General features: G+C 39.0%; 1 protein-coding gene across 9 annotated transcripts in view; it reads right to left on the minus strand.

Moving 5' to 3' along the window:
- Positions 1 to 14,344, minus strand: part of TASOR (transcription activation suppressor) — a 63,134-nt gene that overhangs the window by 8,170 nt on the left and 40,620 nt on the right. For 4 of the 9 annotated variants that reach the window (NM_001365635.2, NM_001112736.2, XM_047447814.1 and 1 more), the window contains 5 exons: positions 13,048 to 13,451; positions 11,685 to 11,829; positions 10,405 to 10,464; positions 4,743 to 5,665; positions 191 to 313 (listed from right to left, as the gene is read on the minus strand). In NM_001365635.2, coding sequence (NP_001352564.1) covers positions 191 to 313; positions 4,743 to 5,665; positions 10,405 to 10,464; positions 11,685 to 11,829; positions 13,048 to 13,451 — 1,655 coding nt within the window. The remainder of the gene's footprint in view (positions 1 to 190; positions 314 to 4,742; positions 5,666 to 10,404; positions 10,465 to 11,684; positions 11,830 to 13,047; positions 13,452 to 14,344) is intronic. The other 5 variants (NM_001365636.2, NM_001365637.2, NM_015224.3 and 2 more) reach the window with 2 other exon arrangements.

Here is a 14,344-nt window from a genome sequence, read left to right on the forward strand (position 1 = left end):
ATCTGTGATGTGCAGCAATTTAAAATTTTGCATAGGTACAAACTTGAATCTCACAAGCTGATTCACAGATGGGTCCTTAAGTTTAATCTCCTTTAAAGCTTATTTTAAAAACACTAGTCTGGCAGACAGTAAGATTTTAAAATAAGGGAGTTTTTAAAACCAAAGTAGTGAATTTGACTTAATAGTCTACCTTGTGAATGAAACCTGCAATGTCTTCATTTTGAATAATAATCAATAGTTTATCTAATTTTGATCTTCTTTCCAAAAACTGTTCAGGATGACATTCTGTATTGCCTAATTTGATAAGATATTCCTGTTAAAGAAAAACAACTAAATCAATATTAAAATACTTCTTTGTAAACATCAATTTAACACCAGAAATGCAAGATAAACTGATAAGCTTAACTACTACCATGACATTATTAACAATGAATGAACTTACACTCTAAGAGACCATCAAATCCTTTTTTTTTTTCTTTGAGACAGGGTCTCACCATTGCCCAGGCTGGAGTATAGCAGCATGATCACAGCTCACTGCAGCCTTGACCTCCCAGGCTCAAGCCACCCTCCCACCTCAGCCTCCTGAATACATGGATGGCACTAGGCTCGCACCACCATACCAGGCTAATTTTTTTTTTTTTTTTTTTTTTTGTAAGAGACAGAGTCTTGCTGTGTTGCCCAAGCTGGTCTTAAATTCCTGGGCTCGAGTGATCCTCCTGCCTTGGCCGCCCAAAGTGCTGGGATTACAGGCGTGAGCCACTGCACATGGCCCAAATCCACTTTTCTTTTCTAGAAGAGGAATCTAAAGGTCAGAGCTTCACCAATCACATAGTCACAATGTTACAGAGCTTCACCAATCACACAGTCACAATGTTACAGCACTATGCAAAGCCAGCCAAGTAACAGTGTGAGTTAACAGAAAGAACTGTTAATTAGGCCAGGTTCTTAACCCAGCTCCTTTAGTTATTATAGAGGTTAATGATTAGACTCTAGGTTGACTATAATATCCTATGAGAAACACTTTAAGGCAACCTAGAGTCTAATCATTAACCACTCCCTAGCTCACCTTTTCCTTTCCATTCTAAGTAGGCCCTTGGTTATTTGCAGCAGTATTAACTGGGATAAACGCCTTCAGAGTTAAGAACTTTCACAACCATAGCTCTAATTCACAACAGCTAAAAAAGCATTTATATAGAGCTTCATTATGTACAATGGTATTCACATACAAATTAGCCATTTCTGTCAAGTTTCTGTCTTCAAAGTAGACTTTCCCAACTAGTAACTCTTCCTCCATGCTGGTGAACATGGTACTGCCTTTCACAGGACACAGGCAGACTTTCATGCAGAGTTCCCTTTGCTCTCTGCTTGCTGGTGGAATCCTGAACACTGAAGCAAACTGCAGGATCCTGGAGGTCATATTCCTCATTTCAGAGATTACTTTTAATGTCAGCACAGCTGGTCAGACAGCTATAATAAAAACCCAGCTTACCTGACAACCAGTCTGCTGCTCTTTCAACCTGAAGTGTTACCCCAAAGAGGATGCTGTTGTGCTAAAGCAGCACCTTCTACACTGATTTTGATCCAATCTCTGGAACTTTTGGGCAGATCTCAGACCAGCTTAGTCAGTTAATGAAAAGGTAAATTACCATCTGACATGCCTGCTGGTAATTTTTTTTTTTTTTGAGATGGAGTCTCGCTCTGTCACCCAGGCTGCAGTGCAGTGGCGCTATCTCGGCTCACTGCAAGCTCTGCCTCCTGGGTTCACACCATTCTCCTGCCTCAGCCTCCCAAGTAGCTGGGACTACAGGCACCCACCACCATGCCTGGCTAATTTTTTGTATTTTTAGTAGAGACGGGGTTTCACCATGTCAATCAGGATGGTCCCAATCTCCTGACCTCGTGATCTGCCCGCCTCAGCCTCCCTGCTGGTAATCTTTGATGTCTTCTTACATTAAGAAGCTTTAAGCTCATTTTAAATAAGACAGTTTAATTCACATAATAAATCAGTTTGACTCCAGAAATATATAAAGTTTACATTTTTATTCATAAAGTCTTTTACTGTAGTATTTTTGCTGGAATATTTCCAATGGATACTGATTAAAAGAATTAAAGTTTCAATCTGGTTTTCTATCAGATTCGTAAAACAAAGAATGCTCTTTTATTCTATATAAATGACAGAAATGACTTATTCTATGCCAGATAAATTAAAAGCACAATTAATTAGGAAATGCATCTCCTATCCCCTTAATCTAAATGTAACGGCTGGGTGCGATGGCTCACGCCTGTAATCCCAGTACTTTGGGAGGCCAAGGCGGGCACATCACCTAAGGTCAGGAGTTCGAGACCAGCCTGGCCAACATGGTGAAACCCTGTCTCTACTAAAAATACAAAAAATTAGCTGGGAGTGGTGGCGGGTGCCTGCAATCCCAGCTATTTGGGAGGATGAGGCAGGAGAATTGCTTGACCCCAGAAGGCGGAGGTTGCAGTGAGCCAAGATAGTGCCATTACACTCCACCCTGGGCAACAAGAGCAAAACTCCGTCTCAATAAATAAATAAATTTTTTAAAATGTCAAATAGGTATGTGTTACAAATCCTTTTAAAAAAAGGAGCGGGGGGGTGGGGGGTGGGGGGTGCGGGGATGGAGGAAGTTGGAGTTATGCTAAGCACACCGGGAACTGTGCCCAACCTATTCTCTCATCTAACCCCAAACCAATATGCAGCTAGCTATGCCCCCAAAGAGTACTGTGCTAGGGAACTTGTTGCTGGCTGGTGGGGAAAAGTTGAGAAACTCTACATTCAGTCATGTAGGGCAAAAATGCAACCAAGGAATTCCTAGAAGTCTTATTTCATTTTCCCAAGAAACCATTAGCAATCAGTAAGGAAAGCCCAACACAGTACTCTGACTCATGTAATTTCTATGTTCTTCAGGTCTTGACCAGGTAACATCACACAAAACATGCTGACCTCAGAGATCCCCAAACTTACAGAAGGCTTAGGACATGTTAGTAGCTATAAAGCCCATGGTCCCTCTGCTTCCTCTAATGAAATTCCAGTCATGGTAAGTAAACTCCATAAATGAGAGCAGGCATTTATTTCAAAATCCTAGGCATTCCCTTGAGGAATTAAAATCCCATAATTTATGATTAATTTTACTATTATACCACTAATGTAATTGCTCCAATGTGTTACCATTTACCTACCTACTGGTAACAAACTTACGTATCTATGTCTAAACATACAGACACACAGAAAGGCGTGTGTGTGTGTGTCTGTGTTTTTTTGTTTTTTTTTTTTTTTTTGAGATGGAGTCTTGCTCTGTCGCCCAGGCTGGAGTGCACTGGCGTGATCTCGGCTCACTGCAAGCTCCGCCTCCCGGATTCACCCCATTCTCCTGCCTCAGCCTCCTGAGTAGCTGGGACTACAGGCGCCTGCCCCCATGCCCGGCTAATTTTTTGTACTTTAGTACAGACGGGGTTTTCACCATGTTAGCCAGGATGGTCTCAATCTCCTGAACTCGTGATCCACCCGTCTTGGCCTCCCAAAGTGCTGGGATTACAGGCGTGAGCCACCACGCCCAGCCATCTGTGTGTGTGTTTAAACCAACTATCTAAAATATTAGTCTGCAGCTTCGGTAGAAAAAATACACCTCACAATGAGAAATCTTTCATGACTGAGGAGTCTTTCAAGATTATCAAGTTTCTTGATCAATAAAGGCTAAAGGGAATGTTACATGGCTAGGGTATCAAGAAACACCAAAAGTTTATCATTAGGCCAACCCTGGGCAGTTTGTTTTTCTATATGATTGATCAAATCCCATGAGATAAACCCTGGCAACTTAACTTTTCCTCTCTGTTTTTTTCCCTCCTCTTCATTAAAAATGCAAGAAACGGCCAGGCGCAGTGGCCCACGCCTGTAATCTCAGCACTTTGGGAGGCTGAGGTGGACGGATCACGAGGCCAGGAGTTCCAGACCAGCCTGATCAACATGGTGAAACCCCACCTCTACTAAAAATACAAAAAAAAATTAGCCAGGCATGGTGTGGCACGCCTGTAATCCCAGCTACCTCGGAGGCTGAGGCAGGAGAATCGCTTGAACTTGGGAGGCAGAGGTTGCAGTGAGCCGAGATCACGCCACTGCACTCCAGCCTGGGCGACAGAAGGAGACTCTGTCTCAAAAAAAAAAACAAAAATCCAAGAAATACTTAAAACCTTCAAATCAAGTTTAAAAGGTATGTGCATAAATGACACTATAAAACAAGATTCTAAATTCTAACATAGATCAGAAGTTCTGAATTTACTTGGACTTACCACTCTTTTATTCCACCCTGAGTTAAATTATGAAAATACACAATTAACATTTATTTTTAGAGACAGGGTCTGACTCTATTACCTAGGCTGGCACAATCATAGCTAACTGTAATCTTGAATGCCTGGGCTCAAGTGATCCTCCCACTTGAGCTTCCCAAGCAGCTGGGACTACAGTAGAGTGCCACCACACCTAATTTTTGTTATTAATTTAAGAGACAATGTCTTGTTATGTTGCCCAGGCTTGTCATGAACTCCTGGCCTCAAGCAATCCTCCTGCCTCAGCCTCCCAAGTTTTGGGATTACAGGTATTAGCCACCATTCCTGGCCTAACATTTAAACACAAAACATTTAAATACAAAAAACTTCCATTTTATAGAGGTCACACCAACAAGAGAAGTTTGTACAGCATTACTATTACCTTCTGGTTTAGTTACCTTTATTTCTTTACAGAGCACACTCTCTTCTTCTTCATGAATATAAAATTTCACAGTATTTTTCTGGACGTCTTTCATGATTTTAACCAAACTATTAAATACTTCAGGTTCTAACTGGCTTATAAAATTTGAAAGAGCTGGTTGAGCAGAAATGTTTACATCACTGGGGGATTTTGTTGTTTCTTCTACTGGTTCCCGGGCCATATCACCAGGTACAATATGATCAGAAGTCACCATTAACTCTGTGGCATGTTGAGGCTGGTTCATTTCTACTTCAGTTAAAGCCGAAGTGGAATGCTGCTCATCAGAGTTGGTATCTTTCAAAGGATCACTACACAGTGGCTCAAGGAGATGTTTATTGTTGAAGTCACTTGAGGAAACTGGTATGACATGCCTTTCCAGAGGATTCGATGCTATCTTAGCACCAGAATCGTTAGGACTGACTGGTGGCAAATTCCCACCCTTGGCTGATGCTTTAATAATAATAGTATTTAGCTTCTCATGCAAACCATCTACAAACTCCTGCACACCAGCTTTGGAAGTCTTAGAATATATGAACTCGGAAAGCCGTTTCATCTTCTCTTGTGTTGAAAAGATAGGTGTGGAAACTGTACTGACATATGAAACATTCTTTTGCTTCAAAATCTCTTCTATCTTCCTAGAAAAGAGATTGTACTCTCCTAACACTGTCCTCTCTGTGGTTTCGCTCACTGCAGGCGGCTCTGCCTCTGCTGCTGGCACACACTGCTCCTCCACCTGACCTGTCAACACGTCATCCTCAGTGGTGCCCTTTAGTGTGTCTGTAAATGGAGAGGATGGAAACTGGTAATCAGAACTTCTCTGTCTATTTATTACCCGGGGGTCGTTAGGAAAGGCCTCCTGTGGTGGCACACACACCAGTTGTTCTTCTGGTGATTTCATACCTATACAGGAAGAGTTCATTATTATAAGAGCAATCCAAAAAGATAAGATATGAAAACACAAACCCTTAAATTGGGGGAAAAAAGGGTTAACACACATTTAGAACTAATTATATATTAGAAGGTAAAATAAAATCCTAAAATTCTGGTATGAATTCTATTCCCTATGTGCCCTACTTATGGGATGGTCCTTAGAGTTGTAGCTAGTGTTAACAACTCTGCTATTTTGAAGCGCTCAAGCAAGCACCAATTTGGCATCAATACAAATTAAGTCATTTGCTTGTTTCTGCCTCCCTACCATTCTGTAGATCTAAGTTTAATACACATTTTAAATCAAGACAGTCAATTACATCAGCTTGCTCAATCCCTGTATTTATTATTTGCCAAGTAATATCTACTATGGTAATGGCCCCTTAGTAAGAATTCTGAGTGTAAGGCAATTGTAAGAATACCAAACAGAAATGCTGTGGGAATAACTGCCAAGTTAAAAGTTGCATCTAGGATCTAGGATAATTAATTTTATCTGCTTTCAGACTTGTTCTCACTTACGAGGTTGCTAAGTAGATTTCCTGTAATGTCAGGGACTTCATTTTATCAGGAAATAAAAGGAACAATAATAAGACAAGAGAAGAACATATTTCACAGCTGCACATTTTTGACAGTCCTTTCATAAATATTTTCCTTTTGTTTGGAAATAATTCTAAAAGAAAAGATAGCTATACCTCATTTGAGATACAGATGTTAGCTGATACTAAGGTTAGCTGATACTAATGAGATTAAAACCTTTCACTCTTGACAAACAGCTCAATCCAAAAGATCATACTTTCCCCAAAAAAATCCTAAATTCAAACACAGTATGTTTTTGAAACTACATTTGAAAAAGGGAACTCTAATTCCATTTTTAAGCAACAAGGGGAAAAATATATTTAACTTCAATTTTAGTGTTATATTTTAGGAAAGGACAAAAACTCATGATCTTTGCTTAGAAGACGTATACACAATTTTACCCGCTAAAAAATTACTGTTTTTCTTTAAGCCTTGGCCAACATTCCCTAACAAATTGCTGCTGTAGTATAGGAAATGGTGCCTCTAAATCAGAAAGTCCAGGTACAGGTAGTTTTCAAACTTACAGTGAAGATTTTGCTCACACTCATCACACTTTTCTAAAGGTTTAAATAGCCTCACTAGGAGTCGAGCTTATGACATTCTCTACCAATCCTGGTGGTTATCATGAACCAGTACACTCATTAACTATTGCAAAGGCAATTTGTCAGCACAGTGAAAAGACCCAAGGCGGGTCTGTAGGCGGAGGTGAGAGGGGAACAAAATATCCAACGTGCCAGGATAAGAATTAGAACTGTATGAAATTGATAAACCAGAAAATCCAAGTTTCATAAGATAATTAGGAGTACTAAATATCCTGAGTATCTTAAATCTCCAACATTAAAATGTGCTTTAGTACACATAAAGTGTCTGGAAGGATACACGAGAAATTGGTAACCATGGCTAATATATGGGGAAGAATCTAAGTGTTCCGGGCTGGGGCAGTATTACTTTCTTAAGTATTTTTGGACTTCTTGAATTACGTATCATGTCAAATATCTGATATATTCAAAGAAAAAAAATTGAATTGCATCTCATAAAACATATGGGTTGCGAAGAACTACCTTAATTTAAAAAATTCTGAATTATTTATTAGACATGGGGCCTCACTATGTTTCCCAGACTGGCCCTGAATTTCTGGCCTCAATTCCTCCTGCCTCAGTCTTCCAAGTAGATGGGATTACAGGTACATACCACCACACCCAGCTATTTATTACTTTAAATGCAACAGTGGCTCCCAAAATGTATAGCTAAACAACAACCAGTAAGTTTACTCCTCAAGGGTTATAAATAAAGGGAATATTTTTAACCTGAAATATAAATTAAATCCACATGGAGAATTTTCCATAATTAAAAACCTCTAAACCAAATAGATCCCTTTATAAAATATAAATAATCACAACCTAATTTTATTTTGCACAAATTTCCCTGTATGATTTTATTAAGAACTTAACTGCTCAGGCACAGTGGCTCATGCCTGTAATCCCAGCACTTTGGGAGGCCAAGGCAGGCAGATCACCTGAGGTCAGGAGTTCGAGACCAGCCTGGCCAACATGGTGAAACCTCGTCTCTACTAAAAAAAAAAATACAAAAATTAGCCAGGCGTGGTGGCGAGCACCTGTAATCTCAGCTACTCAGGAAGCAGAGGCTGCAGTGAGCCAAGATTGCACCACTGCACTCCAGCCTGCCTGGGCAACAGAGCAAGATTCTGTTGCAAAAAAAAATAGAAAAAAAAAACAAAACTTAATTATTTTGAAAATATCTTCATCTATAAGTGATTGAAAACACACATACATGTCAATCCATAATAAAGCTTTTGTTGTTGGTGGTGGTGGTGGTGTTGTTGTTGTTGTTGTTGAGACAGAGACTCGCTCTGCCACCAGGCTGGAGTGCAGTGGTGAGATCTCGGCTCACTGCAACCTCCACCTCCCAGGTTCAAACAATTCTCCTGCCTCAGCCTCCCGAGTAGCTGCGACTACAGGCTCAAGCCACCATGCTCAGCTAATTTTTTTATTTTTAGTAGACAGGGTTTTACCATGTTGGCCAGGATGGTCTCGATGTCTTGACCTCCTGATCCGCACACCTTGGCCTCCCAAAGTGCTGGGATTACAAACATGAGACACCGTGCTTTTTTAAAAAAAAACTTATTGCCATTAAATAATTGCAGTATTTTAACTTTTAAGTGAAAGGGGAGTAGTCAGTTCTCTAAAGGCACCATCATTCAGATGTCTACACTTTAGCTTACAAAATATAAAGATGGTATTTCCAAATAAGAGGAATGCAGGTGCTGATGGAACATTCTGAAGCATAAGAAAGATAACTACTAGCCGGGCACAGTGGCTCACACCTGTAATCCCAACACTTTGGGAGGCCAAGGTGGGCAGATCACGAGGTCAAGAGATTGAGACCATCCTGGCCAACATGGTAAAACCCCGAAATCAGAAAAGAATTACTGATAGATGCAAAACATGGACTCCCTGACACGATATTGCATGAAAGTACCAAACACGAGAGACGACATGAGTAGGCTCTATTTATCCTAAGTTCAACAACAGGCAAAACTAATCAGATTAGCACTTACTTGGGAACAAGGAGAGTACTAACTAGGAGAATGTGGAAGAAAATCTTCTGGGATGCTAGAAACGTTCTACATCTTGATTTGGGTGATGGTCATGTACATATGTAAAATTTCAAAAAGCTGTACAATAAAGATCTGTGGCCAGGTTCAGTGGCTCACTTGAGGTCAGGAGTTCGAGACTAGCCTGGCCGACAAGGTGAAACCCTGTCTCTACTAAAACTACAAAAATCAGCCGGGTGCGGTGGCACATGCCTGTAATCCCAGCTACTTGGGAGGCTGAGGCAGGAGAATCGCTTAACCCAGGAGGCAGAGGTTGCAGTGAACCAAGATCATGCCATTGCACTCCAGCCTGGGTGACAGAGAGAGATTCTGTATCAGAGGGGAAAAAAAAAAAGATTTGTGAACTTTCCTCTATGTTATATATCTGTTGTTCATGGTTTCTTTTTTTTTTTAACCACATTTTCCTAGAAGGAGATGGTGAAGATTTTCTTCAAGGAAACTAGTAACTTTAATTAGCGGGGGAGGGGAACTCCCAAAGGAAATAAATAACTACAAAGATGTAGTCATTTCACATTTCTTACAAATAAAAAAACAACACTTTAATTTCTGAAAAGAGTCAGATACAACAAAACTGAAGGAAAATATAAAAAAGATCACCACCAAACTGTAAACAAGAAAACAATGCCTATGACCATCTGCAGAGAAGTTGAATCCACCAAGATCAGACAAAGATTATCTCCTAGGTACCCACTGCCAACTAGCTAATCAATAATATCTGCAACTGTTTCTGAAATCCAAGTTTCTTAATCTTATTTAATCTACCTGCAGAAATTAGTTTTACAATCAGAAGAACTAGGTTAAAAGACTATGAATAGTATACCTAAAATATAAATGGCTTACCCTTCTTGGCTATTTTTTAAAAATTTAAAAAAGAAGAAACCCAGGTTTGGGGGCTCAAGCCTGTAATCCCAGCACTTTGGGAGGCTGAAGCAGGTGGATCACCTGAGGTCAGGAGTTTGAGACCAGCCTGGCAAACATGGTGAAATCCCGTCTCTACTAAAAATAAAAAAATAAGCTGGGCATGGTGGCATGCGCCTGTAATCCCAGCTACTTGGGAGGCTGAGGAAGGTGAATTGCTTGAACCTCGGGAGGCAGAGGTTGCAGTGAGCCAAGGTCACGCCACTGCACTCCAGCCTGGGTGACAGAGCAAGCTTCCATCTCAAAAAAACCAAAAACAAAAAAAGAAGAGTTTATCATAAAATATACTGCACAAATGGCTTAGGAATATATTCTGGTCTTCCCAAATCATATTGTAAGATAGACTCTACTATGGGTGAAGAAAATTTATATAAATATTCGGTGACTTATCTGAACACTCTTTATAGTAAGAATAGTGGATACAACTCAAGTAATGATTTACATATAAATAAATATGGTACTGTCCAAATTTTCTGTAATTAAAAAAATTTAAGTCAATGCCCTATTGATGGAGTATCAGAAATGCAAGTAGCAACTCTGAAGAAGGGCACACTGGGAAGAAAAGCAAAGCAAGCCTTCTCACCTGGTGTTTGTTTCTCACCATGTTTCCCCAGCTGGTCTTCTGGGCTTCTTGCATTCCCTCCTGAGGGAAAGCATCCATTAGACTCTCTTCAGACATTAGTGATACCTACACTAAGCACCTTTCAGACAACCCCAAGTGATAACAATGCAAGCATTCCTTCTTCTGCCTAAAATAATCTGAAGGGTCATACTGGTGATGATGGAATATCAACACTTAAGACATTGTACCTTCAAATGACCCAACACCAAGTATGAAGGTGTCTAAATGAGAAACGGTTAGGATAACCTTCTTATATCAACTACTTCTTTTGTTTCTCCTACTCAAGCTGATGTTTCCACCTCATAAAACAATACTAGGTTCCCTCTATCATCACCTACAGGCCTCCTACCCTCCAGAAAGATGTTAAGTAGAAGATGGTGCTAAAGCCCATGGGAACTCATCAAGTTTTATAAATTCTTCTCAGAGTCCTCGGAAGTCTCAGCAGGTTCTAGTTTAGTTCACAGGCCAGTCTACTTTGTAACAAAAAGTTGTTTGCTGTTGCTATTGTTTTTAAAAGGTTAGAGGTGTAGGACTGGAAAAGACGTATACCCTGAAAATATTTCCAAAAATGTTTAGCTAGAAAAGTGAGTAACAACTTGGAATATTAAGAGTATGTATTTATGTGTGTGTATGTATGTGTTTGCACAGAGAAATTAGAATGCTACCAAAAAAAAAAAAAGATAATATTTCAACATCTGCTAAACTTTTTGCCTCACAGTTCAATAACATTTACATTTGATCATTCAGGCCATTCTCTAAGATAATCCAATTTATTTAAGATAATCCAGTATTAAGAAATCAAATTTCTAATAGATGAACCTCAACATTATCACTTATTAGATGACAGCTTGTTACGGTGAAGTTTAAAGTTTGAGAAGACAGCATTTAATTGGTTGTCCAAAGAGCACCATTTTATCTCTGCAGCTACCTCACCTTATCAAAAACTCAGTTTCTGCCAACAGTCTTCATTCAGCAGTCTGCATGCTAAACTCCATAGAGACAGTGTGTCTTAAATCCCTGTTTTTAAGGTGATTTTGCAGGTGCTTGCTGATGCTGACCAAGAACAGCAACACTCAGTGATGAACACTGTATTACTCAAAATAAGACACTGAAGATGTCAGCACCAATTAAGATGAAGCACCTAGTGACCCAAGAGTGAAATCCACAGAAGATGGAAACATTCAGGAAACTGGTCTCTAAGTAAAATGAAGCAAACACAAGTCCAAGTATACTTTTCTTACCTGTAATTGGAATCAGTTTCCAATGTATTTCAGTCTCTTCAACATTATTTGACTTAGACTGTTGTCTACGAAATCCATGTTCAATGGGAACACTGGGACACAAACTGCAATCTTCAAAATTATTCACGCTAATTAAATTTGGATCCTAAAAATCAAAGTACACACTGAATAGCTTTATTTCCAATTCATTTTAATGTCAAGAATAAACTGTTTTTTCACTGAAAATTCACGTGCTTCAATCTAAACATTACAAATGCGTAAAATCAACATGGTAAAGTTATACTCTAGTTTCAAAATTAAAACATCTTTTCCCTCGAAACATAATTTTATGTTAATTTAGAACAGGGATTGGTAAACGTTTGTGCTGAAGTGCCAAACATTAAATATTTTAGGCTCTGCAGGCCAGACTCTCTAGTCTATCACAGGCAATACCTAAACAAATGGACACAGCTGTACTCCAATAAAACTTTAGTTATAAAAATGGGTAGTGTGCTAGGTTCAACCCATGCCCCCGCCCCCCATCAACTTGATTTAAAATACAAAAGATATCAGAAAATATTAATACAGGTTAGTTCCTCAGTGCCTACCTTACATACCCCAATAACCCTCCTGCCATCATCTTCCCCTTGAAATAAATATCCCAAAACGACATCGAGAAAGAATGGGGACATGCATACAACTTTTAAACAAAGGCAGGGAAGAGAAAATGGAGACAGTAAATGAAGAAATAAGCCCATAGGAATACGGTGCAATCCTAGAACTATTCCCCAGTGATGCAGTGACTGCTTAAGGCAGATAAGGCTACTTCTCAGCTACAAACCAGCACTCTGAACATATATCATAAATATACTGGACACTCTAATAAGCAAGGCTGAGAGTCACTTCAGGGGTAATCCTAAAGGCTGCTTATGTTCCATTCCTATTTGCGTAAGAAATACCAAGTACCTAACTGTCACACTGCTGTACTGAGACTGGCATCCTCATCTGCCTCACCTTTGGGTTCTCTGTTACTGCCGACAGAAAGCCAATGCTTTAATAATTCAACTTCATTATGAAACAATAAGGAATTAACTCCCAATAAGCCATTTCTGACAAATATTAATAGATTGTTCCGCCTAAGCTTTATCACAAGTAAACTGTAGACAATATATTAAGCTTCTAAGAAGGAAGGAAAACTACTTCAGCATTTATCTCTTTGTAACAAGGAATAACTTAGGAAGTACCATCCTAGACAGGCACCTTTACTCAAAAGTGCATTTTATTTCTTTTTCAAAGAAAAAAATCATTCCCTGAAGCATACTCACAGCACCTCTTTCACACACACACTCACAAACACAAAGGTAACCAACAGCTATATGCTTACTTCTTTCAAATGTAGCTTATGGTCAGTGCCCACTTCGCTGGTAGAAATAGCAACAGAATACTTAGATGTTGCATCAACTTCTAGTAATAAGCTCTGAGTACCCTTAAACTGTGCATTTTCAACTTTTGCACAAGTAGGCTGCTCATAGTCTTTCTTATCTGGGGTAGAGTTCAACTCATACTCATGTTTTTGCCTCAGCTCTTCATAGGCATCATCAGTGCTCAATCCTAAGGCTTTGTTGACTGTGTCTGTCAGAGATGCATCAGAATGGCGCGCATTTGCTAGTGTTTCTGATAACCAATTAAACAGCCTATGGATGTCAGCAATGCCGGAGTTACAGGTATCCTGCTGCTGCCGCCTCAAGTCAGCATCATGTCCAAGTGAGCCAATAGGCTGTGGAGACTCTGAGAAAAAGGAAGTCATTGGTTGAAGTTAAGTTTAAAAGCAAGCATAAAACTTTTAAAATCAAATATACCTAAAAAATTATCATAAAGCATTTATGGTCAGGAACTCAACCAATTTGCTTAGACTTTACAAATATTCGCATCACTTTACAAAAAGAATTGTAAAATTTTGCACATAGTTCAAAATTGCTATTAAAGTTTAATTTCCATTGTAATTTAAGCATTCTATCAATAGGAAAATAAGCTCATGCATTAGGTTTTAAATATGTGTATTAATAACTACCATCAAAATCTCAAAGTCAACCAGGTGCTTGACAAGAGATGAAACATTTGTAATTACTATTTTGCCAATTGTTAGGATTATATGTGTATTACACTAGGCTACTAAAAAAATGACAATTTGATTTCTATCTTTTCCATACCTATTATATTTTGTCCTTAAGGCATTGGCTGACACACTTAAAATCTACACCTTATCTTGAATGACTAGATTACTTAAATTCATAATGAAGCTAGGGTATTATAGAGATAAAATCACCCTGAAGAAATCTCCACGAAATTTGCATCAAGAACAAAAAGTATTATAAGAGGAAACACGTTAAGACATGGTTTCATGCATGCACTATAAATCTGTATAATCTGTAACAATCAATATATTTTAAAACTTGTAAAGGGCGCAAACATTCAGAAAGTCATGTGCTTTAATATTGGGGTGGGGTAGGGATTGGGTGAAGCCTGAGTTAGGATTTCAAATTTAAGAGTATAATGTACCACAACAAAAATAAATGTCAGAAACAAAGGAGTGCATACTGTATGACTCTAATTATGTAAACTTTTTATAGAGCAGGCAAAACTAATCTATAAAGACAAAAAGCAGATCAGTAGTGGAGTGG

The sequence above is a fragment of the Homo sapiens genome, chromosome 3 (genome assembly GCF_000001405.40).
Source record: "Homo sapiens chromosome 3, GRCh38.p14 Primary Assembly".
Taxonomy (NCBI): Eukaryota; Metazoa; Chordata; class Mammalia; order Primates; family Hominidae; genus Homo; species Homo sapiens.